The sequence below is a fragment of the Homo sapiens genome, chromosome 17, assembly GCF_000001405.40.
Source record: "Homo sapiens chromosome 17, GRCh38.p14 Primary Assembly".
Classification (NCBI taxonomy): Eukaryota; Metazoa; Chordata; class Mammalia; order Primates; family Hominidae; genus Homo; species Homo sapiens.
The window spans coordinates 36,473,434-36,499,473 of NC_000017.11; the positions used below are offsets into that span (position 1 = coordinate 36,473,434).

Consider the following 26,040-nt stretch of genomic DNA (forward strand, 5'->3'; position numbering starts at 1 on the left):
CCTGAGGCCACGCCAGTCCTTCCTACAGATCATAATTTGGCCAAACCTTTGTGCAAAGGGCTATGAGGTGTTTTCCCTCTAGAGTCTGAGGGTTAAAGCAGTCCCAGTGATTCAGGATACACTCCAGAGGCGTATAGACTGAGGATGGTGAAAGTAGTTGGTGCCCATTCTGAAAGAGAGGGAAATAGGCATCGCTCATTTTCTTTCCCTCTTTCCCCAAGAGAAAACAGGTGTCCTCCTTTTCTCTTCTATATGTTTATCCCCGAGTTCTGGCAACCTTAGATGGACACCATCCATAGGTGCCATTGTGGCCTGTACCCGTGAAGCAGGGAGGGCCTAGAGAATAGGAATTATCTGCACTCACTTACGCCTCCATGCCCCCTACTGTCGGCAACCTTTGGGTTCCTTGGGCCTTATCTATGCCATGGAGTGTGGCCTCCTTCCATGAAGCAGGGGCTTAATTGGCAGGAATTAGTCCTGCCCATTGATACTGTGCCTGTTGCTTGGCTTTGAATCCCTCAGATCTGATTTTCCTTTCTAGGGCTTCAACCTGAAGTTTAGAATTGAGTTTGGGATTGGGCCAGGCACAGTGGCTCACGCCTGTAATCCCAACACTTTGGGAGGCCGAGGAGAGCAGATCAAGAGGTCAGGAGTTCGATACCAGCCTGGCCAACATAGTGAAACCCCATCTCTACTAAAACTACAAAAATTAGCTGGGCGTGGTGGCGGGCGCCTGTAGTCGTAGCTACTCCGGAGGCTGAGGCAGGAGAATTGCTTGAACTAGGAGGCAGAAGTTGCAATGAGCCAAGATTGTGCCACTGCTCTCCAGGCTGGGAAACAGAGCAAGACTCCATCTCAAGAAAAAAAAAAAATGAGTTTGGGATGAAAAGGTGTCTCGGGGGTGCATGGATTCATTTAGATTAAGTCCCAGGCAGGCCTTGCCAAATTTGCAGTTATTAGCCAGTGGGCTCGCTCCTCCACTGCTTTTCTATCATAAGCAGAGTGCTGAGGTAGGAAAAGAACCTCCTCGCATAGAAAAGGAAAGAGGGAAAAAACAAAACAGCTTAAGAGGGGGAAGAACCTCTTGCTCTCTGTAAATGGGTTCCTTTAATCACTATATCCTTCCTCTGGTTTGGACGGAGCTGGACCCCTCGGCTGTCTGGGGGAGGAAAGACTCTGTGGGCATGTGGAAGGAGGGGATGGTGAGTGGGAAATGCTGGCCAACTGGCTGCATTGGGCCCCTGGCCCCCAAGACTGCCCTGGGGCCTGGGCAGCAGCCACAGTTCTCTCCCACCCTGCCCTTGGGCACTTCATGTGCATGCTGTGGACACGCCCAGGTGCCGTAGCTGGGAGGGAAGGGTGAGGAGGGGAACAGCCACGTGCTGCACACCTTTGTGGCTGTTGGGGTTGGGCGTGGGGGTCGCACCTCTAAGAACAAATGGAAGTCACATTGTTCTGAATTGCATATCTGGTGGCTGAGCCAAATGCTCATTCTACCTAGTAACATTTCTGCAGTTTGCAGCAAAACCCTTATCATTATAAAGGGAGAGAGAGGAGCCATTTTTAACCATGAAAGAAGAAAGGGAAAGATACCATAGAAAGGTCCAGGGGTGTTGGTCAACGCCTTAAGTGCTATCGGGGATGGGATCCAGTTTAGGGGCCTTCTGGCAACACCAAGGAGTGGCCTCCTCCAGATGCCTTCAGTTGCCCCAGGACTTTATTCTGGTCCCACCCGATGGCTAGACCTCTTTGAAGGGAAACAGAGCCAACATTCCTTTCACCTGAAACAAAGAGATAGGTGGCAGGATTGCATCCTGTCCTCTGCAAATGGCATAGCTCAGAGGAAAGTCTGAGGACAAGAAGTCTTAGGAAAAAAGTGAAGAGACAGATATGGCAGATCTGCATTTATTTGCCCTTCTGAGAAATCCTGGATAGGCCCTGTGGAAGCAGGCTATTTCCCTGACCCCTTCAAGGGACTTGCAACAAGGGTGCCTCATTTACTCAGCCTGCAGCTCTCAACTCCTCACAGGAGGGAGTGTGGGAGTGAATGAGACAGGAACTGGAGTGCATGAGTGCTGGAACCAGCTGGCCACCTTGGCACTGGCAGCAGCAAACTCCACTCACTCAGACTGGCTGTATTGCACCACTCACAGGAGGGAGCGTGCAGGTGAGCAGGTGCAGGAGCCAGCATGAGCACTTTTAGGCACTGGCAGTAGCGAATGCTGTGCAGGTCCCAGGCAGCATCTAGGGTGGGGGTGCCTGTGACCCCTGAAGCCCCAGAGGGCGTGTTACATTGCTCACTTAGCTCTGCCATCCGCAGACAGCTTAAGTGTTAACAGCTCAGTGGGCCCTCTGCCTTTTCATGTGGGATGGCTGCCTTCCACTAGTGAGGGCAAAGGGCCAGTGTGACAGCCTTTTGTATCCACACTTGTGGCCCCCAAGCTCTTGTCCAGCATCCAGAAAAAATGAGGTCACACAAATGAATTGAAGGATGGTGAATGTGGAGGATTTTATTGCTGATGAAAGTGGCTCTCAGAGGGAAGGGAGGTTGAAAAGGGGCCAGGGAATGTAGGTAATCTTCCCCTGAGGTCCAGCAGTCTCTGGCCAGATTCTTCTTTGAAGTTACACTGTCAAGCTGTCCCTCTGAAGTCAAGCTGGTTCTCTCTGACTTTGGCCATAGTCCCCAACATGCAGCTGCTTCTCCTCTCTACCGGCTGAGTCTGGGGTCTTTATAGGCACAGGATGGGGCAGGGCAGGACCATGGTAGTTTAGGAAAAGGCAACATTCAAGCAGGAAAATGGGGATATAAGTTCTCACTTTGGGCTGTGGTCTCAGGCTTTTTGGCTTGAGGGTGGGGCTTCACCAGGGATCCACCCCTCTCTGCCTAGAATTTCTCTGCCTCTTGTCACTATCACTAGGACTAGAGCTATGGATCTGAGAGGCGGAATAAAAAGATAAAAGCCATGCAGCCTTGGATAATCATTAAGTTAAAAAGGAATTTGCTTAGGGGACCAAGGGAAGGGGACACTACAGACTGTCCATCCCCTCCACCCCTACCCTAGGTGTCATGCCCTTAACTTTTCACAGCTACACTCAACTTTAGTCAGATTTTTTTTCGTCTGTTTGTTTGGTAATTGTCTTTATTTGCCATGTTCAACTGTAATCTGCAAAAGAATAAAAACAATTGTCTTTGGCTGGTAAGTGAGTAGTTAAAAACTTTGATTTGAAGGTGTCATCAGATATCACCTTTGTTTCTGTCTCAAGGCAGGAAAGTTTTGCTTCCATTCAATGCAAACATAGCTGCCTGGATCTGGCTAGTGTTAACTCATCAGATGCTTTGTGTGAGGGACCCCTAAGTTCTTTATTTCAGGCAGTGAAAGGGCCAAGGGGGTATCATTGTTGGGCTGTGTTTAAGGCATCGGTTGACCTTTATCCAGCTTTGAAGTCATGATATAGAACAGTTCCAGCATCCTGAAAAATTTCCTCATACCACTTGGCCATCAACCCCCACCCTGCCCCCACCCCAGCCTCTGTCACCATAGTTTTGCCTTTGCTACACCTTTTTTTTTGTTTGTTTGAGACAGAGTCTTGCTCTGTCACCAGGCTGGAGTGCAGTGGCACGATCTTGGCTCACTGCAACCTCCGTCTCCTGAGTTCAAGTGATTCTCCTGCCTCAGCCTCCTGAGCAGCTGGGACTACAGGTGCACACCACCACGCTCAGCTAATTTTCGTATTTTTAGTAGAGACGGGGTTTCACCATGTTGACCAGGATGATCTCGATCTCTTGATCTCGTGATCTGCCCACCTTGGCCTCCCAAAGTGCTGGGATTACAGGCGTGAGCCACCGTGCCTGGCTGCTACACCTTCATATAAGTATTAGACAGTATGTAGTCTTTTGTATCTAGCTTCTCTCACTTAACATAATGATTTGGATTAATCCACGATTTTGCTTTTATCAGTGATTTGTTTCTTTAGGTTGCTAAGAGGTATTTCATTCTATAAATCTGCCATAAATTGTTTATCCACTTATCAGTTGATGGACAAATGGGTTGTTTCTAATTTTTTGCTTTTAGGAATAAAGCTGATATAACCTTTTGCAGAGAAGACTTTGTGTGAACATACATTTCCATTCCTCTTAGCTAAAAATCTAGGACTGTGTTTGCTGGGTTGGATGATAAGTACATGTTTAACTTCATTAAAAAAAAATGGCCAAGCTATTTTCCAAAGTGATTGAATCATTTTGCATTTCCAGCAGCAATATATGAGATATCCAGTTGCTCTGCCTCTTTGTCAGCACTTGGTATTGTCAGTTTTTTTAATTTTCGTCATTCTAGTAGATGTGTGGTGGTGCTGTATTGTGAGTTTAACTTGCATTTCCCTAATGGCTGTTTATGCTGAGTATCTACTGATGTGTTTATTTGCCATCTGTATATATTCTTTGGTGGTAAAAGACAAAAGTTATTTATCTAAGATGTCTTTTGCAAATATTTTTTCTTGTCTGTGGCTTTTTTCCTTTTCTTAACAGTGTCTTTGGAGAATAGAAGTTTGGCGTTTGTGGGTTTTTTTAGATGAAGTTCAACTTACTAGTTTTTTGTGATTTGTGGATTTTATGTCTAACCTAAGAAATGCTTGCCTGACTCAAGGTCACAAAGATGTTCTCTCATTTTTTTCTAGAAATTTTAGTTTTAGTTTTTATATTTAGGTCTATGAGCCATTTCAAGTTATTATTATTTGCATATGGAAGTCCTTTTTTTGGGGGGAGTGGGGACTGGGTCTTGCTCTGTTGCCCAAGCTGGAGTGCAGTAGTGCGATTACAGCTCATTGTAAATTTAAACTCCTGAGATCAAGCAATCCTCCTGCCTCAACCTCCCAGGTATCTGGGACTACAGATGTGCACCACCATGCCTGGCTATGAAGTCCAATTTTTCAGTCATTTTTTGTTGAAGCAACTATTGAATCACCTTGGCTTCTTTGTTGAAAACAATTGACCATACTGGTGTGGCTCTACTTCTGGACTCCTCTCTGTCCCTTTATGTCTATTCACACATCAATACCATGCTGTCCATGCCTGTAGTCTAGCTACTCTGGAGACTGAGGCCTGAGGAAAACTTGACCCCAGGAATTCAAATCTAGCCTGGGCAACACAGACCCTCTCTCTTATTATTATTATTATTTTTTAGATGGAGTCTCGTTTTGTCGCCCAGGCTGGAGTGCAATGGTGTGATCTTGGCTCACTGCAACCTCTGCCTCCTGGGTTCAAGTGATTCTCCCACCTCAACCTCTGGAGTAGCAGGGATTACAGGCACCCACCATCATGCCCAGCTAATTTTTGTATTTTTGTAGAGATGGGGTTTCACCATGTTGGCCAGCCTGGTCTTCAACTCCTGACCTTAGGTGATCTCCTGCCTCGGCCTCCCAAAGTGCTGGGATTATAGATGAGAGCCACTGCACCTGGCTGGGACCGTCTGTCTTAGAACAACCACAGCAATAAAAAAAAAAAACACAAAAAACCACGATACTGTCTTCTTCACTGTATTCTTTTCAGAGTATTGAAATCAGGTAATATACATTCTCAAATTTTTTCTTTCTTTTATAAAATAGATTTGGCTAATCTATATCCTTTGCATTTCCTTTAATTTTTTTTTTTTGAGATAGAGTCTCACTCTGTCGCTTAGGCTGGAATGCAGTGGCGCAATCTTGGCTCACTGCAACCTCTGCCTCCCGCGTTCAGGCGATTCTCCTGTCTCAGGCTCCCGAATAGCTGGGATTACAGGCGCGTGCCACTACGCCGGGATTTTTTTGTATTTTTGGTAGAGACGGGGTTTACATCCTGTTAGTCAGGATGGTCTCAATCTCCTGACCTCGTGATCAGCCTGCCTCAGCCTTCCAAAGTGCTGGGATTACAGGCGTGAGCCACTGTGCCCGAACTTCCTTTAAATTTTACAGTCATCTTGCCAGTTTCAACAGAAGAGCCTTCTAGGATTTTGATAAGGATTGCATTGTTCTACAGATCAATTTGGGGAGAACTGACATCTTAGCCATATAGAATCATCTGATCCATGTATGTCATATCCCTCCCTCCTCACCCCTTTCTTCTTCATCAGTCTGACTAGAGATTTCTCAATCTTACTGAATTTTTTCTAAGAACCATTTTTTGTTTTATTACTTTTCTATAGTTTCTGTTTTATTGATTTCTGCTTTTCGTTTATCTGTTTCTTCTGCTGACTTTGGTATTCTTTATTTAGTCTCTTAGTGAGGAAGCTTAAATCATTTATTTGAGGCTTTTCTAATTTAGCAGTATTTTCAGCATCAGCGCTGTTGACATTTGGGGCTTTATAATTGTTGGGGGACTGTCCTATGCACGACAGGATGTTTAGTAGCATCCCTGGCCTATAGTCACTAGATATCAGCAGCACCCCTCTCCAGTTGTGACAACCAAAAGTGTCTTCATGTATTGCCAAATGTCTTGGGCATGGGAGAATTGCTCCTGGCTGAGAATGACTGCTATAGTAGGCATTTTATGATAGAAACCTCAGTTGTGTATCACAAATTTTGACATTTTTTTCATTTAGTTGAAAATTTTTTCTTAGTTTCCTTTGCGATTTCCTCCTTGGCACATGCAATACTATATTTTTTTAAACTTTTATTTTTTTAGAGACAGGGTCTTTCTATGTTACCCAAGCTATCTTTGAACTCCCAGGCTGAATTGTTGCTCCCACCTCAGCCTCCCTGAGTAGCTGGGGCTACTGGTGTTTGCCACCGCACCTGGCTGACCCATACATTATTTGTAAGTGTATTTTTTAGTTCCAAATATTTGAGGATTTTCCAGAAATATTCCTGTTACTGATTGCTAATTTAGTTCTTTTGTGGTCAGAGAACACACTTGAATGGCTTCAATTCTTTTGAATTTGTTGAAATGTGTCTTATGGTCCTGCATGTGATCTATTTTGGGAATTGTTCAGCGTGCACGTGAAAATAACGTATTCTTGGATAGAGTTGTCTATAAATGTCAATTGGGTCAAGTGGGTTGATAGCGTTGTTCAAGGTTTTTATATTCTGGTTGGGCGTGGTGGGTCATGCCTGTAATCCTAACACTTTGGGAGGCCGAGGCGGGTGGATTACTTGAGGTCAGGGGTTCAAGACCAGCCTGACCAACATGGTGAAACCCTGTCTGTACTAAAAAAACAAAATTAGCCAGGATTAATCCAATATGGCAATATCTGTCTTTTAAGTAAGTGTTTAGAAACCATTTCCTTTTTTTTTTTTTTTTTTGTGAAACAGAGTCTCACTCTGTTGCCCAGGCTGGAGTGCAGTGGGCAATCTCCGCTCACTGAAACCTCTGCTTCCCGGGTTCAAGTGATTCTCCTGCCTCAGTCTCCTGAGGAGCTGGGATTACAGGCACCCACGACCACGTCTGGCTAATTTTTATATTTTTAGTAGAGACGGGGTTTCACCATGTTGCCCAGGCTCATCTTGAACTCCTGACCTCAAGTGATCTGCCTGCCTTGGCCCCCCAAAGTGCTGGGATTACAGGCGTGAGCCACAGCGCCGGGCAACCATTTACATTTAATATGTTGATACAGAAAGGTTTATCATCTTGCTATTTCTTCTTATTTATCCCATTTGCTTGTTCTTTTTTTCTTTTTTGCTAGCTCCTCTCTTTTTTATTGAAGTACTACTCCACAATGCTGCCTTCTTTGAGACTAAGTACCCGATGCCATTTTACCTCCACAGTGGAGATAATAATATTAGACCATGTCACATATAGTGTAAGAGTCTTACCTAGTAACTTCTATTTCCCTCCATCATTTTTATGTTTTATGAAAATGTTATTACTTTCATATATTTAATTCTGCATGTGCTAAGAACTCCACACTGTACTGTTATATTTGCTTGAACCAGTTATCATTTAAAGAGATTAAAAAGGTAAAAATGGGCCGGGCGTGGTGGCTCACACCTGTAATCCCCAGCACTTTGGAAGGCCAAGGCGGGTGGATCACCTGAGGTCAGGAGTTCGAGACCAGCCTGGCCAACATGGTGAAACCCCGTCTCTACTAAAAATACAAAAATTAGCCGGGCGTGGTGGCGGGCACCTGTAGTCGTAGCTACTTGGGAGGCTGAGGCAGGAGAATCGCTTGAACCTGGGAGGCGGAGGTTGCAGTGAGCTGGGATCGCGCCATTGCACTCCAGCCTGGGTGACGGAATGACACATTGTCTCAAAAAAACAAAAAAAAAAAACAAAAAAAACCCCCAAAAAGTAAAAATGTTTTTTTGATTTTACCTATAGGTTTACAATTTTTGGTACTCCTTTGTGCAGATCCAAATTTCCATCTCATGTCATTTTCCTTTTGCCCGAATAACTAACATTTCTTGTAGCGTAGATCTGCTAGTGAAGAATCCTGTTGGGTTTTGTCTAAAAAAATCTGTTTCTTGTCCTCATTTTTAAATGATAAGGAAATAAACCTGGGGTCTCAGTTCCTCTTCCCCGCCCCTCACTGAGCAGAGTTCTTATGCACTGCTGCCATGTGGGAGGTGGAGATGGGTTCAGAGGTTTGTGAAAAGCTTGACGCGCTGCACGCCCACTCCACAGGGCACCTTTAGAGGCTTCTTGGGGAAGCTGGTCGGGTAGCTCTGACTCCTCGCATCTCTGTGTGTCCTTGGGAATGTCAGGTGGAAGATCGATGTGCATTTGCAAATGGGAGTGAGTGTGAGAAAAGAAAAATGTGGGGTTGTGGCTGGTAGGGTGTGTTCAGGGAGCAATGGTGACCTCTGTTGTCTGTGCTCTCCCAACAGTTCTGGGATTGTGGGGAATGCAATTGTTCTGTATCCCTTTTGTATTTTGGAAGTTCTCCGTGAAGTCTAACTGCAGGTCATATTGTCATTTAGTCTAGAGTTGGAGGATGGATATAATTTCATGAGTATGAAATAATATGCAGAGTTGTTGGACACCAACTGGGCCCACCCACTCCACCAGAACTCAGGTCTCCTTCATTTGACTCCCACCGGCAACGTCACTCACTTTAACACCTGAATTACTCTCTCTTAGATACCAGAGGGGAAACGGAGGCATGCAGGTGAGAACGTGGCAGCAGTCCCTAAAAGTCACTTCTGGTGCTGGCCCTGGCTCATCCGTGCCCTGGGGGAGAAATGCAAGTGTCAGAGCTGCGGAAAGGAGCTGAGATCTAGCAGGGCTCGCCCTTATCAACCTCCGCCTCTAACAAGGGCCACACAGCACGTAGGGGAGATTAGGCCGATCTGCCTGCCTCATCGCGGGAGGCCAGGAGGGTGGAAGGCAGCGGATCGCGCCCTAGCGAGCAACCCACATGCTCTGGAAGTGTGGTTCAACTTTCACCAGGCTACTGCGGGCGGCCGGCCAGCTGTCAGCGGGCACTCCGCCCCCAGGAGCTGTCCGCAAGCGCGGGGCGGTGGGCACCGCGGGGAACAGCCCCCGGACAGCCAGTGGCACGCGGAGACCTCGGAGAGCGCAGGCCCTGCTTTCCCGTAGGAACACTCGTGGGCATCGGGTCGCCCGCTTCGCCCCCGCGCTCTAGACGCACTTTCCTGCCGCCTGGCGATGTCCGAAGTGCATATCAGAGCATGGACTTGGTCTTCCCAGCGCTACCAGACCGCTGAGCCTCCCCGCACGTGGTGGGGCGCAGGCGGGGCGCCAGCTGCGCGGGAATCCGGGCGAGCGCGCTCCACCCGGGCAGTGCGGGCCTGGAGCGCCCTCTGGCGGGACGGTGCGCGGCGTTGCGCGTCTCCAGCCTTGGGATTGGCCCGGACTCGCCTTCAACGCACCGGACAGCGCTGCCAGGAGGCAGAGCTCTGAAAACCTCGACAACGACGCCTCTCTCTTCAGTGCCCGCACTGCGTCCCAGGCTGACGCCAAGGAGGCCCAAGACAGCCCTGGGTGGCCATTAGGACGGGTCTGGAGGGGACATCAGTGTGGACATCTAGTTGCTGGGCCTGGGGTCACAGCCCCCTTTCTTGTCTGAACTGGCCACTGCCCGGAGGAGCTGCGCTGTGCGCCTTAGTGTGCCACCACCTAACCGCCATCGCGGCTGAGCCCACCTCCTTTCCCGGACATTAGAGGACGAGGGGTGCGAAGGTCGGGGAAAGCTGGGGGCATCCAGATATCCAGAGTAGAGGAGGGGCCTCTTCCCTGCGTGGATGTGCATGGGAAGGATTCCAGGAATTTAATTTTCTTTTCTTTTGAGATGGAGTCTCGCTCTGTCACCAAGCTGGAGTGCAGTGGCGCGATCTGGGCTCACTGCAACCTCCGCTTCCCGGGTTCAAGGGATTCCCCTGCCTCAGCCTCCCTAGTAGCTGGGACTGCAGGCGCGTGCCACCACACCTGGCTAATTTTTTGTATTTTAGTAGAGACGGGGGTTTCACCATGTTGGCCAGGATGGTCTCGATCTCCTGACCTCGTGATCTGCCCGCCTTGGCCTCCCAAAGTGCTGGGATTACAGGCGTGAGCCACCGCGCCTGGCCGAATTTTCTTTTTTCTTTTTTTTTTCTGGAGTCATCATCTCTCCACTCGCAGATAGGGAGTCAGCGTGGTTTGTATGCAGGTGGGAGGGACTGAGCCCCTGAAAATGGTTAGGATTGTCTCTGGCCTCAGCCTTGGTACACACATCACAGGACAAATCAAGCAGACAGTGGTGAGTCCGCCACAGTGGGCAAATTTCTACCCGTGCCAGACAGTGTACAGGATCTTTTGTTTTTTTTTCTCTCTCTCTCTTCCTTTTGAGACAAGGTCCTGCTCTGTCACCCAGGCCGGAGTGCAGTGGCGTGATCTCCACTCACTGCAACCTCCACCTCCTGGGCTCAAGCGATTTTCCCACCTCAGCCTCCCCAGTAGCTGGGATTACAGGCTCAAGCCACTGCCCCCCGCTAATTTTTGTATCTTTTTGGGTAGAGATGGGTTTTTGCCATGTTGCCCAGGCTGGTCTTGAACTCCTGGGCTCAAGCCATGTGCCCGCCTTGGCCTCCCAAAGTGCTAGGATTACTGGCGTGAGCCACCTTACCTGGTGGGGCACAGGATTTTAAATTAAATTTTTTTTTTTTTAATTTTTAGAGACAGAGTCTTGCTCTGTCGCCCAGGCTGGAGTGCAGTGGCATGATCTTGGCTCACTACAATCTCTGCCTCTAGAGTTCCGGCGATTCTTGTGCCTCAGCCTCTCTAGTAGTTGGGATTACAGGCGTGCACCACCACACCCAGTTAATTTTTTCTATTTTTAGTACAGACAGGGTTTTGCTATGTTAGCCAGGCTGGTCTTGAACTCCTGGCCTCAAGTGATCTGCCTGCTTTGGCCTCCCAAAGTGCTGGGATCACAGGCGTGAGCCACTGCGCCTGGCCTAAATTTTTCGTCTTTAAGACGGGGTCTCTCTCTCTCTGTCATCCAGGCTGGAATGCAGTGGCACAATCATAGCTCACTGCAGCCTTGAACTCCTGGGCTCAAGTGAGCCTCCAGCCTCAACTTTCTAAGTAGCTGGGACTACAGGCTGATGCGACCATGCCCGACTTGGCACAGGATTTAAATATGGCCCTGGACAAGTCACTGGCCTTCTCTGGCCTTCCCAGGTAAGCTTGGACTTTCTGGGATGCTTCAAGTTCAAATCATCAGTGGTACAACTGTTGAACAATATGAGGAACGCTGCGGGTTACTGGGCCTGTGTGGACCCGTTTTGGATTCTAAGCTGGGTCCTGGGCAGAAGTTGGAGGCTGGGGCAGCTGCAAGCAGGACAGGCAGGTGGCCAGAGGGCCCAGCAGCTTCAGCACTGAGGACTGGACTGGGTCGCCACGCCCAAAGGAAGGATAATTACTCACCTCCCACTCAAGAAGCAGGCGGCAGAACTGTTTTGGAGAGCATGGCTTGGGGCCTGGGACCTATGTTCATGCGGTCCAGACGGAGATCCATGAGAGTTAAGACTCTTTCTAGATATCAGGTAGCACTTCTGATTACAAAACTTTTGCACATGGTCTCCTCTCTGCTTTACAACAGCTCAGGAAAGTAGGCCCAAACATCCACTTTAATAGATGAGGGAGCTCAGAGGGGGTAACCAACCCCTCCAGGTCACACAGCCAGGGAGGGGGTTGAGCCAAGGTTCAAACCACTGCCTCGGTTGTTGCAGATACATCCCTGCAGACACCTTTATTGAAGAGGGACCCTGAAGGCTGAACGGCCAACACAGAAGAGGAGGCACTTGGGAGTAAGGGTGATTTATGGCCCTGGGAGGGCCCAGTGCAGGTAGGATGGGAGCTAAGGTAAGGCTGGGCCATGCCTAGCTGCAAGCAAATTTCCTTAAAAAACAAACAACAAAAAACATTACTTTTTCTAAACCTAAAGTTTGTGGTGGCATTCAAGTCCCATCATAGCCCATCTATCCAGACTCATCTGCCTGGGATCCCCGTCTTGGGACTAGTGGTCACTGGCCTGCTTCCTGGTCAATTAGCTTCCGGGACTAGGGGGAGGTGTGAGGAGCCTAGAGTGCAAAATTTAAGAAGCACTCAGTCTCAGGGGCGTGCAGGTGCAGGGTAGCGACGGCAGGACTCTAAGAGTGAGTCTCTTTCCTCCCCGTTTCCCCGTCCTACTTTCACTCTAAGCATTTAGTTCCCAGGGGACAGAGACGACTTCTTCATTAGAAGACCCCGGGGGGTCCCCAGCCCGGAAGGGCTCACAGTTGGAGCTCAAACATTTGCCACTGTTCAGGCTCATCTTTCTTTCCCCAGTGAAAAATGGTCTAGGTTGGGAAGGGCAGGTTCCTGTCTACTGCGTGATCCAACCGATTCTGGTTCGCCCAATGTCTGGACTTGTCCTTTGCCAAGAATAAGCAGATGAGATGGGCGGATGAACCCCAATGTCCCTGCAAGATTCAGGAAGTCCCAGCCAGAAAGTAAAGGACGTTTAGTTCCATGTATTGTTTTCTTTTTTACATGCGGGGCAACACACCTGGACAGTGTCGATGGCTTGCTCCAAGCCACACGGCCGCATAGGGACAGGGACTGGGCTACATAACAAGTTCTTCGACGCTGTGATCTAATCAAGGAAAACCTGGGACGCAGCTAATAGATGCGCATCGAGTGTATCGACGCTCTAAGTACGAGGGCTGGAACAGTGAGCAGGATCAGTCCATTGCTTTTGCCTACCTGCTGAGCGCTGATTGGTCCCCGTTTAGGAAACGGAAAAAGGGGCGTGCACGCGGGCGCGGCTGCGTGAGAGGCGCGCGGCGGCGCAGTGAACAGTCTCCTTCCACAAAACCATGGCGTCGCTCAAATGTAGCACCGTCGTCTGCGTGATCTGCTTGGAGAAGCCCAAATACCGCTGTCCAGCCTGCCGCGTGCCCTAGTGAGCGGGGAGGTCGCGGGGTCCAGGGGCGCGGGTGTCCGGCCATGGCGGGAGGGCGGGAGGCCGGGAGGCCGGGCGGGAGCGGGCGGGCTGCTGGAGGGGCCGGGGACCCTCGGGGCTGACGCGGCCTGTGGCCTCTGTTGTTACAGCTGCTCGGTAGTCTGCTTCCGGAAGCACAAAGGTGAGCCCCGTCCCCGCCAGCCCTCGTACCACTGCGCACGGGGCAGCCCCCACGTCCAGCCTCCGTCTTGGGGGCGTGGACCCTTGGGCTGCGCTTCCTTTCCCGCCTCGGGTCTCCGCGGGTTCTGCAGGAACCTTGCTTCCTCTGACTTGGTCCCTGGTGTCTCTGTGTGTCGGACAGTTCCCTCTGTTGTCCCTGCCTGTAATCGCTCTCAGGGTTTTGGTCAGTAGCCTTTCTTCTACCCCGCTTCTCCTTCTGCGTGTTACTCTTTTTTGCTTAGAAATAGTTTCCGATTGCTTTTCCCACCGAGGTCTACCCTAGCAGTTTCTTCCTCAGTATTCTGATGTAGCCCCTCACCATTTGGCTGAAACTGCGCTAACTTTAACAGTATTTTCACTCGTGTAAATAATGTCTTGTTAGAAACAAAGAGGTAAGTCCATGTACAATACAAGGAGACGTCCTTGATTTGTTAAGAGAAAAAAAGAACCAAGTAAGTTCTGTGTATGATGTGAACACACTTTTGTACAGTTAAAAAGAAGTGACCTGGCCGGGCGCGGTGGCTCACGCCTGTGGTCCCGGCACTTTGAGAGGCCAAGGCGGGTGGATCACCTGAGCCCAGGAGTTCGAGACCAGCCTGGCCAACATGGTGAAACTCCGTCTCTACTAAAAATACAAAAATTAGGCGGGCGAGGTGCGCGCCTGTAATCCCAGCTACTCAGGAGGCTGAGGCAGGAGAATCGCTTGAACCCGGGAGGCGGAGGTTGTAGTGAGCCGAAATCGCACCACTGCACTCCAGCCTGGGCTACAGAGCCAGACTCAGTCTGGAAAAAAAAAGAAAAAAAAAAGTTTGATGTAGGTGGGGCGCGGTGGGTCACGCCTGTAATCCCAGCACTTTGGGAGGCCGAGGCGGGCGGATCATTTGAGCTCAGGAGTTTGAGACCAGCCTGGGCAACATAGCGAAACCCCGTCTCTATAAACAAACAAAGCCAGGCGTGGTGGCCTGTGCCAGTGGTCCCAGCTACTCAGGAAGCAGAGGTGGGAAGATCGCTTGAGCCTGGGAGGAGGAGGTTGCAGTGAGCCAGGATCGTACCACTGCACTCCAGCCTGGGAGACAGCAAGACTGTCTCAAAAAAAAAAAAAAAAAAAGCTTGATGTAGATTCTTTCAGCTTATTTCCACTCTTGTACCAATATATAGAACTTTTTTTTTTAGCTTTTAGAATCTCAGCAATGAGACTGTACCCAACATCCTCATTTGAGTTTATATATTGGGCACTTTTTAAAACCTAGTGCATACAGGCTGGGCGCAGTGGCTCATGCCTGTAATCCCAGCACTTTGGGATGCCAAGGTGGGTGGATCACCTGAGGTCAGGAGTTCGAGACCAGCCTGGCCAACATTATGAAACCACATCTCTACTAAAAATACAAAAATAAGCTGGGTGTGGAGGTGCGCGCCTGTAATCCCAGCTACTTAGGAGGCTGAGGCAGGATAATTGCTTGAACCATGGAGACGCAGGTTGCAGTGAGCCAAGACTGCACCACTGCACTCCAGCCTGGGCAACAGAGTGAGACTCCATCTAAAAAAAAATTAAAAAAATTAAAAATAAAGACTAGTGCATACAAGTTCTAGCTCACTGACTTAAAGGACTGTATGTTATTTCATTATATAGTTGGTACGACCATTATTTATATAAAGCCTCCTATTGGTTGATTTTTCTTTTTAATATTTGTTTTTAATTGACACATAATTGCATACAATTTGAGTTACAGTGTGATACTTCGATACCTGTATACAATGTTTAAGGATCAAATTAGGGTAATTAGCATATTCGCCCCAAATAATCATTTCTTCATGTTGGGAACACTCGCAATCCTCTCTTGTAGCTATTTGAAAGTATAAATTGCTGCCAACATGGTCACACTAAGGTACTGTGTAACACTAGAACTTATTCCTCCCATCTAGCTGTAATTTTGTATCCATTAAGCAACTTCTCCCTAGCCCCCTACACTCTACTCTTCCTAGCCTCCAGTTACCACTATTCTGCTCTCTACTTCTGTGAAATCAACTTGCTTAGCATCCACATGTTAACAAGAACATCTTATGGTGCCTGGCTTGTTTCACTTAACATTATGTTCTTTGGGCTCATCCATGTTCCTGCAAGTGACAGGATTTCATGGTTTTTTATGGCTAATATCCAGTGTATATATGTACCGCATTTCTTTATCCATCTGTTGGTGGATCCTTAGGTTCATTCCTTATCTTGGCTGTTGTGACTAGCAGTAAACGCAGGAGTGCAGGTATCTCTTCGGCAGACTGATTTCATTTCCTTTGGATATATATACAGTAGTGGGATTGCTGGATCATATGGTAGTTCTATTCGTAGTTTTTTTTTAGGAACCTCTATGCTGTTTTCCATAATGACTATACTAATTTACATTCCCAATAACAGTGCAGTGTATAAGAGTTCCCTTTTCTCCACATCCTTGCCAACATGTTTTTTTCTTTTTGATAATAGCCATTCTTACTGTGGTGAGATGATACCTCATTGTGGTCTTGACTTGCATGTCCCTAATAATTAGTGATGTTGAACATTTTTTCATGTACTTGTTGGCCATTTATATGTCTTCTTTTGAGAAGTGTCTGTTTGGCTCATTTGCCCATTTTTTTTTTTTTTCTTTTTGAGACAGAGTCTTGCTCTTGTCGCCCGGGCTGGAGTACAGTGGCGCAGTCTCTGCTTACTGCAACCTCCGCTTCCAGGGTTCAGGTGATTCTCCTGCCTCAGCCTCCAAAGTAGCTGGGATTACAGGTGCCTGCTGGCTGATTTTTGTATTTTTAGTAGAGACAAGGTTTCACCATGTTGGCCAGGCTGGTCTTGAGCTCTTGACCTCAGGTGATCCACCTGCCTCGGCCTCCCAAAGGGCTGGGATTACAGGGGTGAGCCACCATGCCCGGCCCATTTGTCCACTTAATTTTTTTTTTTTTTTTTTTTTGGCTGTTGAGCTCCTTGTGTATTCTAGATATTAATCCTTTGTCAAGTGAATATTTTGCAAATATTTTCTCCCATCCTGTGGGTTGTCTCTTCATTCTATTGTTTCCTTTGTTGTACAGAAGCTTTTTTGTGTAATAGAATTCCATTTGCCTATTTTTGCTTTTCTTGCCTGTGTTTTTGAGATTTTATTCATAAAATCTTTGCCTAGACCAATGTCCTGAAGCATTTCCCCTGTGTTTTCTTGTAGTAGTTTCAGGTCTTACATTTAGGTCTTTAATCCATTTTGATATTTATATATGGTGACAGATAAGGATCTAGTTTCATTCTTCTGCATATGGTTATTCTTACAGTTATCCTATTTTTCCAGTACCATTTATTGAAGAGTGCTTTTTTCCCCAGTATATGCTCTTGGTGCCTTTGTGAAAAGTCAGTTGGCTGTAAATGTGTGAATTTATATCTGGGTTCTCTATTCTGTTCCATTGATCTATGTGTCTATTTTTATGCTAGTACCATGCTGTTTAGATATTATAGCTTTGTAGTATATTTCGAGGCCAAGTAGTGGTGATGCCTCCAGCTTTGTTCTGTTTGCTCAGGATTGCTTTGGCTATTGGGGGTCTTTTGTGGTTCCATATTAATTTTAGAATTTTTTTTTGACATTTCTGTGAACAGGATCATTGGTATTTTGATAGGGATTGCATTGACTCTAGATTACTTTGGGTAGTATGGTCATTTTAATATTTATTTTTCTTATTGGTGGATATTTACATTAATTTTGCCTTTGTTGCTGCTATAGGCAGTGTTAAAGTGGTATTTAATAAATAATTTTTATCAGAAATTTCTAATAGCCACATCTGTTGTACACTTTTCATTTGTCTTTTTTATTTTTTTGCAACAAAGTCTTGCTCTGTCACCCAGGCTGGAGTGCAGTGGTGCTCACTATAGCCTTGACTTCCTGGGCTCAGGCAGTCCTCCTACCTCAGCCTCCCAAGTAGTTGGGACTGCAGGCGTGTGCCACCATGCCTGGCTTATTTATTTTTAATTTTAATTTTTGTGGAGATGAAGTCTCACTGTATTGCCTGGGCTGGTCTTGAATTCCTGGGCTCAAGTGATCCTTCCACCTTGGCCTCCCAAAGCGTTGGGATTACAGACGTGAGCTACCCATGCTCAGCCTGTCATCTTTCTTGATTCCCATGAATATCTGCTGTGTTTGGCTTTTTCTTTCTTGATATTCTTTGGAGGCTGGGAAGATACCGCTCTGTGGTATTCTCTCCTCCCTTTCTCCCTTCGAAGTCCTAACCAGGCCTGACCCTGTTACAGCTTCTGAGGTCAGATGAGATAGGGTGCATTCAGGGTGGCTTAGCTGTAGACTCTCGTTTTCTTTTTTTTCCTTTTTTCGAGACAGGGTCTTGCTCTTTTGCCCAGGATGGAGTGCAGTGGTGTGATCACAGCTCATTGCACCCTTGGCCTCCTGGGCCCAAGTGATCCTCCCACCTTAGCCTCCTGAGTAACGGAGACAAACTTTATCTATTTTTCGTAGAGACAGGGTCTCACTGTATTGTCTAGGCTGGTCTTGGACTCCTGGGCTTAAGCAGTCCTCCTGCCTCAACCTCCCAAATTGCTGGGATTACAGGCAGGAGCCACTGTGCCCAGCTTCTCCTTCCTTTTGCTAGATCTCTCTCTTGAAATGTGGTCCTTGACTTTTATTCCTAGGTAGGTGATCTCTCTTTCACTTTAAACTTTTTTTTTTCTTGCTGACATCCAACTGTTTAGCTCCAGCCTCTTTTTGAGCACCTTAGACACAAATGTATTTTGGGGTCAGGTACAACCCAGAAAATTCACCTCTCCTTCAGTCCCTCCTGCTGTGTTCCTTACACATATAGCATAGCCGTAAAGTTAGACCCGGATTCCAAATCTGCCTCTGCTACTTACTAGCTGTGGACCCCAATGGACAAGTTTATTACAAGAAAATTTAATCCTTTCATCTGTAAGTGGAATTAACAGTCTCCATGTCATGGGGGCTTCGTAAAGGTTCATTGAGCCACTATGTATCTCACTGTGTACCTGGCACAGTGCTCGGCACTTAGTCACTGGCAGCTGTTGTAACTGCCACCTACATGACTAGAACCTTTCCGTAGCATATTGTCAAATCTACATTTTAAGTCTCTACAATCTGGTCCTGCCTTTATGTCCTCAGAACCCTTTCCTGTGACTTCATGCTCTGTTGATACTGTCACCCAGGCTGGAGTGCAGTGGCACAATCACAGCTCACTGCAGCCTTGACACACTGGGCTTAAGGGATCCTCCTGCCTCAGCCTCCCAAGTAGCTGAGACCACATGTGTGTACCACCATGCCTGGATGATTTTTTTTATTTTCTGTAGAGACATAGTCTTGCTAGGTTGCCCAGGCTGGTCTCAAACTCCTGGGCTCAAGTGATCCTCCCACCTTGGCCTCCGAATGTTAGGATTACAGGCGTGAGCCAGCACAGCTGGCCTTCTGTTGACTCTGTAAGTTCTTTGGTGGTTTTGCCCCTAGTTTTATCCCATCTGGTATCTGGTTTACAGCAGCTATTTCAAACACCTCAGTTAATTGTGGTGAGAATTTTGTAAGATTCGGCAGGGTAGGGAGGATGGGGACAGGTTCTTGGGGTGCATGAATGAGTCCTGCTTTCTCAGCCTGCTGGCGGTTTTCCTTAATCTCTCTCTTGCTTTGATCTCTCACTTCTTCCACATTCCTGGGCACCCACCCACATCCCTTACCCCAGACACTTGCTTCCTACCTAGATGCTACCTTGGTAGGGAGGTGCAGCCTTGTCGCTGAAATGGAGGTAATGTGGGCCTGGGATTTGTGTCTTTTTCAGAACAGTGCAACCCTGAAACTCGTCCTGTTGAGAAAAAAATAAGATCAGCTCTTCCTACCAAAACCGTAAAGCCTGTGGAAAACAAAGGTGGGTTGGTTGACTTCAAACAAATCTACAAGGGACTTCACATAGAATAAGTCGAAGGAAAAGGGGAGAGTGGGGCTGGTCAGGGAATCCAGAACAATAGCTTCATTGGGAAGGAACAGCTTCCTTAGCCTTGAGCATCAGGAGTGGGGCCATGTCATCATGGGTGATATTGAGGCAACAGCCTGAAAGCAGTATTCAGGAGAAGAAAAATGGGCAGAAGACAGAGATGAGAAAGGCCATGGCTGTGGTTTGGGGGTTTGCGGTGGGCCCTGCTGGCAGGAGCCTTCTCTAGCCCATAGCTGCTGGTCTCCCTCCATGAATCTGGCTGGGACTGTCAGTTCACCTGAACTCAGCCCAGGCAGGAGGCTTTCTTTGTCCTAGATCATCTCGCTGCTGCTGGGGGTTCAGAGCTCACAGCAGTAGTGGGCTGTCAACCCATCCGTCCAGCCATCTAAACGTTCTTTAATACCTCCTGGGTGTCAAGCACCATGCCAGGCTCTGAAAGCAGCCCCTCTGGTGCCACCAAAGAGGTATTGAACATTCACTCCAAAGGCATGGCCCATTTTTGCCCTTTGAGAAATTTCCAGGTTGGGTTCAGGCAATGCCAGCAGTTTCTGCCCATGCTGAAAGCACAGGAGATTCTACTTGGCTGGTTTTTACAGAGCATCCAGTTAATTGGCCCATCACAGGGTTGGAGCCATGTTGAGGTGGGGATGGGTATTAAGTTATTAGACAACCGGGGTCTAAGCCTAAAGACCACAGGACCACATATACAGTAAGGATGTGAACACTAGAGTGCATTTGTTAAAATCACCAATTCTTTCACTTAGCCTCCCTCTTCTAAAAAAGGAGTGTTAGTATAGTCACAGACTCCGGAGAAGAGGATTTTTGTCTGTACCTGCTTGAATACCCCTATCACTATCACATGTGCGTGCACACATTTTTATCCTGTTCAAGTAGTGGTTAAAATCTGGTGCCCAGGCCTCCTTTTTAGCCATGAGCCATTGACTGTTTTGTATTCCTTAGATGATGATGACTCTATAGCTGATTTTCTCAATAGTGATGAGGAAGAAGACAGAGTTTCTTTGCAGAATTTAAAGAATTTAGGTAAGTCTGTGCTATGCTTGTCAATCGTTGAGATACATTTACTGTGTTGTAAGGATTGTGATTTTTTAAAAAGTTTTTAATTTCTTGAATAAGTATGGCATGTAGGGCTCTTACTATCTAGCCACATAATCTGTAAACATACAGGGTTTCACACCTCCCAGCCTGCCCACACCATTCCTTCTGCCTGGAATCCTGCTGGTCTTGTGGGTTGGCAAAATTCTGCTCCTCCTTCAAGCCTTGGTTCAAGTTTTCTTCACTCAGCTAAGCTTTTCTTGACCTTTTGTGTCTCTTTCAGAATTAGGCACTTTTTTGGTTTCCCATAGCAACTTGGACTTAATAGTAATAAATCACTGTTACATTTCATGGTAATTTGTCTCTCACATACCGATTTGTACAGCAGGGACCTGTATTCCCAGATCCCCAGTGCTCAGCTCACAGTCCAGCCCTTAACACAAACTGGTTATCACATGATTTGATTTAGGGGGAAACAGGTGTTGCCATTTTTGTAGCACTGCTTATTCAGTCCTTACAACATTCTGTTACATGTGCATGGGGTCTGTTAATTTCATTCTTCCCATTTCACAGAATCATGTTAAAAGGTTATGTTTTGCACTTAGTCTCATGGTAATGATTAGTTAGACTGAGTTTGGAGATGAGCTAGTAATAGGTGTGAAAAATTTTACAGACTGTGAAGTACCATGCAGGTATTATTGTTGGTTCCCTGCTACTGGTGCTGCTGCATGCCAAATGGCATGCTTAGACATCATTCAGATTATTTCGTATAGCCGTCTTCACCACTGGCAACTTTTATGGCTAGAAAGAAAGAAAACATGCCAGCAGCTTAATGCTACTATTTGCTTTGTGATTGTGCTGATAAAGCATTTTTTTCTTAGCTGAAGTGGCACGAAGTTACAATATTTACAAAGATACCAAGAACTGGTATCTGTTACTGCATTTAATGCGGAAATAGTTTGATATGCTGGTCTTACCTTTCATTTTATAGAGGTGGGGTCTCGCCATGTTGCACAGGCTGGTCTTGAACTCCTGAGCTCAAGCAATCTGCCCACCTTGACCTCCCCAGTTGCTGGTATTACAGGCATGAGCCACCACACCTTGCTGATAGTTTTATTACACTTGAAATAGCTCTTCACTTTTCAGCCATCTCCATGTGTTTCCACTTGAACTCAGACTGGCTTTTTTTCTTGTTAATTTTTAGGGGAATCTGCAACATTAAGAAGCTTATTGCTCAATCCACACCTCAGGCAGTTGATGGTCAACCTCGATCAGGGAGAAGACAAAGCAAAGCTCATGAGAGCTTACATGCAAGAGCCTTTGTTTGTGGAGTTTGCAGACTGCTGTTTAGGAATTGTGGAGCCATCCCAGAATGAGGAGTCTTAAGATGGATTATTGTGCTGCTTGCTCAAGCGTGTGCTTGACTCCTGGAACCTGCCTGCTCCCTCTCCCAGACCAGCTAGTTTGGGGCTGGGGAGCTCAGGCAAAAGAGGTTTCCAGGATGCAGATTAGGTCATGCAGGCCTTTACCGGCATTGATGTGGCTCATGTTTCAGGCAGACTTGGGGTCCTTAAGGTGGCAAGTCCTTTATGGAGAGAAAACTTGACATTCAGATGATTGTTTTTAAATGTTTTACTTTTGGTACAGTTGATAGACATCATAAACGATATCAAGCTTACACTTCATATGGAGTTAAACTTGGTCAGTGTTAATAAAATCAAAACGTGATTCTACTGTACATTGCATTATTCATAATTTAATTGTTTGAAATTACATTAAATAAATCAACTAATTAAATACTAAAGTTTTGTTCCTTTTTAAAGGAAATAACCACAAGATTTTTCCCAGCCCAAATTCCAGCGCCAATTTTAGGCCAACTTTGGCTGTTTTCTTCCAAAAGTGCTTATGTGGAATTGGGATCCCCAGTGTAGTGACAGACAGTCATGACTGCTGCTGAGTTTGATCTGTGAAGGTAGTGAAATGTGGCCCTGATGTTTCTTAACCCTGATTTGGTAACTACCAGCCCTGACACCATCAGTGCTTGATGTAGCCTGGAACCCCAGGCCCACTGACGCACTGGGCACGGGGCTCTGGGTCGAAGGCTGGAGCCGTCACTGTTGTTCATGTGCATTTGGAGCACTGTGGGAATAGTCTGGCAGCTGTGTGCTGATTAAATGTCTTTGGCAAGGCAGGGGGCAGGAAAAGGCCTTGTGGAAACAAAGGCACCAAGGATCACCCCAGCCCAGTGAAGGCAGAAGAGGTCACGTGGATCAGCCTGTGTCTTTCCAGCAGAATCTGATTAAAGCCTGTAATGCTGTAGGGTGAAGGTTCAGGGCAGATGTCAGCATACCGCAGTGGAGACTTTCTGCAGTGAAACTTTATCGATCCCTAGAGGGGAGAGAGAGATGCAGCTTTAGCACTAGTTCCTGGGAGTGCCAGGGCCTAACAACCCCACAGAGCAGACGCTAAAAATGCAAGAAGGTATGGACAAGTACTAGTATTGGGGGCCACAGCAGGATTAAAATAGCATTACATCCACTCAGTGTGAGACAGATGAGGAAACCCTAGGAGGAGGCGCTCCCTAAGAGGAATGTCTGTCACATTCCTATGACTGCTTAAAGCCAGAAGGGCAAAACATTTACCCTTCTGTTTAGCAGGCCTGTGTGTTTTCATGGGAGACTTCATCCAGATTAAGGCCTATAGTTATTCCTCTGAATGGAAATTTGGTGTTTCCTTCTGCCTTGTCATTTCACTTACTCCTTGCTGTGACTCCATGCAGTAGGTTGAGTATTAGCCCATTTTATAGACAGGCTCCGAGAAAATGTGTCTTAGCCAAGATCATCCAGTGAATGGGGCAGAACCAGGATCCAGACCCTGGGGTTCTACCTCCCAGTGCAACATACTTTCACCTTTCCTCGGCCACTTTAATTCTATGAGGCCTGGCTTACTGGGGTGACTCACAAAGCCCTGAGTGACAATGACTTCCTGAGTGTGCTGGCTGACTTTTCCCTGGATGCTTATATAAAAACAGCTGGGCACGGTGGCTCACACCTGTAATCCCAGCACTTTGGGAGGGCAAGGCAGGCAGACCACTTGAGGTCAGGAGTTTGAGACCAGCCTGGCCAATATGGCGAAACCCCGTCTCTATTAAAAATACAAAAAAAAAAATATAGCCAGGCATGGTGGCACATGCCCTGTAGTCCCAGCTATTCGGGAGGCTGAGGCAGGAGAATCGCTTAAACCCACTGCATTCCATCCTGGGCGACAGAGTGAGACTCCGTCTCAAAAAATTAAATAACATGAAAAAAAAAAAAAACCCACAGAGAACTTGGACCACTGACCCTGCTTGTCATTTCGTCAGCCAGAAAAGGAAAAAACCAAGCAATACAATTTGGGGAAAACATGGTGCCAAATCCAGTGCCATTTGAGGTAACAAACTCCTCACAACCCAAGTTGTGATGTGGGACTAATTAGATTATTTGCTCTCAAGTCTTGGGTAGTTTCTTTTTTGCTATGTCTCGTGAATTTTTCCTCTTTTCTGTAATTGACCTATTATTACCCTAAACCAAACTTTTTTTTTTTTTTAGATGGACTCTCGTCCTGTCACCCAGGCTGGAGTGCAGCGGCGCAATCTCGGCTCACTGCAACCTCTCCCTCCCAGATTCAAGCAATTCTCATGCCTCAGCCTCCCGAGCAGCTGGGACTACAGGCGCCTGCCACTACGCCCAACCAATTTTTGTATTTTTAGTAGAGATGGGGTTTCGCCATGTTGGCCAGGCTGGTCTTGAACTCCTGACCTCAGGTGATACACCCGCCTCGACTTCCCAAAGTACTGGGATTATAGGCGTGAGCCACCGCTCCAGGCCCTAAGCTAAACTTTCATCACCTCCTGCTCCTGACTCATCTAAAGCCTTGGTTCTCACAGTGTGGTTCATGGAGCATCAGAATCAGCTGGGAGCTTGCTAGAAACGCAGCATTGCATTTGGAAATGGGACTAGAAGATTTAGAGATGCTGAAATAATTAGAAGCAGTTTTTAAAAAGATAAAGGGCTCTGGAAGATTCCCAGTTATAACAAAATAAATAATCCAAACCTGCAGCTGATTGGGACATGCAGCCCTCTGGTTTACCCAGTAGGGTTAGGGATGGATCTTGTCCCAGCCTCAGTCTCATTCCCGCTGTGAACTTGTAGGCTTTGCTCCTGCTGTTCTCAGGAACAAAGCTGTCATGGCCATCACACACAACGTACCTGAGGCAGCGCTCGGATGGACGTGACACCAGCCTGGTCTTGTGCTGTCTGGACAGTGTAGCTACTGGGGCTGCCCCTGGGGAGCTGGAGGCAAGCCCAGACCACTAATTTCCTCTGAAAGCTGCCTACACCCATAGCCGTATTGGCCAGGACCAGTCCCAGGGGCCAGAGGCGGATTATTGCCTCCAGGAGCCTGGTCTGCAGCGGCGAGGTGCTCAGGGAACAGGGAGCTTGAGAGAAGTGTTTTTCTTCCACACCATCCAGCTCTTTAGCAGCAAGGCAGGCCATTCTGATCTTAAAAAGCAAATATCCCTTTATAGCTTTAGATTTATCTAGCCCTCTTAGCAGAAAATGGAAATCAAAACTATCTTTAACAAATCATCTTAACAAGGTGAACTGAAGGCACCTGGTTGCAAACAGCTGGCTGCCCTGAACCAAACTGGTTCCATATGCCACAAGTCTATACACCCCAGGCAACTGTGCTTAGGCCTTACATATGCTACTTGAAAACAAGATAAGAGTCCATCAAGATATAACTGATATGCCATAAAACCCAGTCTTCTAAAGTGTACATCCCAGAGTTTGGTATATTCCCAGAGTTGCTTATACCACTCTTCACCTACATAACCACCCTGCAGGGTAGGTGTTACTGTGCCCACTGCATACATGAGGAATATGAGGCTCAGAGAGGCTAAACAACCTGCCCAAGGCCACCTGCATTGCAGTGGCAGAGCCAGCATTCCCACTCGGGTCCATCTGGTCCCCAAAATTGATCCACTGCCCACCCCGACTTCTTGGGTCTTACTTACTCTCCACTTCTGCCATGCACGCTTGATGACTGTGGCAGCTGCATGCAGCCTCTGGATGTGTTTCCGAGTTAACCAGGAACGAATGGCTAAGAGGTTTGCCCAGAAACAGGAAAGAGATAATAAAGGGGCCATTAGAGCTGTCAGTGACCTCGCTGCAGCAGCACCACAGTTGCTGTCAAAGTTTCAAATACGTTTTTTTTTTTTCAATAAATTGCTACAAATAAGGTTCTAAAATCAATACATAAGGCAAAATTGGCTTTTAAACATTCCTTACACTGCCCACACACTTGAATACACCTACACAACACAGTGAAGGGGCACTGGGGAGAAGGACTGGCTGAGGGCCCAGCAATCACTTCCCGTCTCAGGCTGGGTCCAGGTCAGCACCCAGGGAATGGG

The 26,040-nt window shown here is 47.2% G+C and overlaps 2 protein-coding genes, 1 long non-coding RNA gene and 1 pseudogene across 44 annotated transcripts in view, besides 1 other annotated feature; 1 reads left to right on the forward strand and 3 right to left on the reverse strand.

Moving 5' to 3' along the window:
- Nucleotides 1-2,484: 2,484 nt before the first annotated feature.
- Nucleotides 2,485-13,246, reverse strand: LOC105371749 (uncharacterized). 3 transcript variants are annotated; one of them, XR_934710.4, is made up of 3 exons: nucleotides 13,154-13,246; nucleotides 9,028-9,136; nucleotides 2,485-3,164 (listed from the first exon to the last, which is right to left on the reverse strand). It is a non-coding gene; the product is annotated as an uncharacterized LOC105371749 (long non-coding RNA). The 3 variants fall into 3 exon arrangements; XR_934709.3 differs by lacking the exon at nucleotides 13,154-13,246 and adding an exon at nucleotides 12,957-13,045; XR_934708.3 differs by lacking the exon at nucleotides 13,154-13,246 and adding an exon at nucleotides 9,558-9,677.
- Nucleotides 12,969-13,902: an enhancer, noted in NCBI's record as "H3K27ac-H3K4me1 hESC enhancer chr17:34842246-34843179 (GRCh37/hg19 assembly coordinates)". NCBI's record gives its function as "activates a minimal SCP1, AML or CMV promoter by ChIP-STARR-seq in primed H9 embryonic stem cells {active_cell/tissue: H9 hESC(primed)}" and the evidence as "EXISTENCE:reporter gene assay evidence [ECO:0000049][PMID:30033119]".
- ZNHIT3 (zinc finger HIT-type containing 3) lies at nucleotides 13,248-25,879 on the forward strand. Of its 7 annotated transcripts, none has more exons than NR_104009.2 (5): nucleotides 13,248-13,352; nucleotides 13,502-13,533; nucleotides 19,385-19,466; nucleotides 20,493-20,573; nucleotides 21,790-22,389. NR_104009.2 is itself a non-coding variant. In NM_001281432.2 (5 exons), the coding sequence occupies exons 1-5, from the start codon at nucleotides 13,267-13,269 to the stop codon at nucleotides 24,331-24,333; spliced, it is 447 nt and encodes a 148-aa protein (NP_001268361.1). In that variant the 5' UTR covers nucleotides 13,248-13,266; the 3' UTR covers nucleotides 24,334-25,879. The 7 variants fall into 7 exon arrangements, 4 of the variants coding, with proteins under 4 accessions (NP_001268361.1, NP_004764.1, NP_001268362.1 ...); NM_001281432.2 differs by lacking the exon at nucleotides 21,790-22,389 and adding an exon at nucleotides 24,173-25,879 and having other exon boundaries at nucleotides 19,380-19,466; NM_004773.4 differs by having other exon boundaries at nucleotides 19,380-19,466.
- On the reverse strand, nucleotides 17,766-17,889 carry RNA5SP439 (RNA, 5S ribosomal pseudogene 439; annotated as a pseudogene).
- The window catches only part of MYO19 (myosin XIX), a 49,180-nt gene continuing 45,342 nt past the window's right edge, over nucleotides 22,203-26,040 (reverse strand). For 26 of the 34 annotated variants that reach the window (XM_047436823.1, XM_047436835.1, XM_047436826.1 and 23 more), the window contains 3 exons: nucleotides 25,642-25,727; nucleotides 24,833-25,126; nucleotides 22,203-22,973 (listed from right to left, as the gene is read on the reverse strand). In XM_047436823.1, the coding sequence (XP_047292779.1) occupies nucleotides 22,818-22,973; nucleotides 24,833-25,126; nucleotides 25,642-25,727 (536 nt within the window). In that variant the 3' untranslated portion in view covers nucleotides 22,203-22,817. The remainder of the gene's footprint in view (nucleotides 22,974-24,832; nucleotides 25,127-25,641; nucleotides 25,728-26,040) is intronic. The other 8 variants (XM_047436840.1, XM_047436839.1, XM_047436837.1 and 5 more) reach the window with 1 other exon arrangement.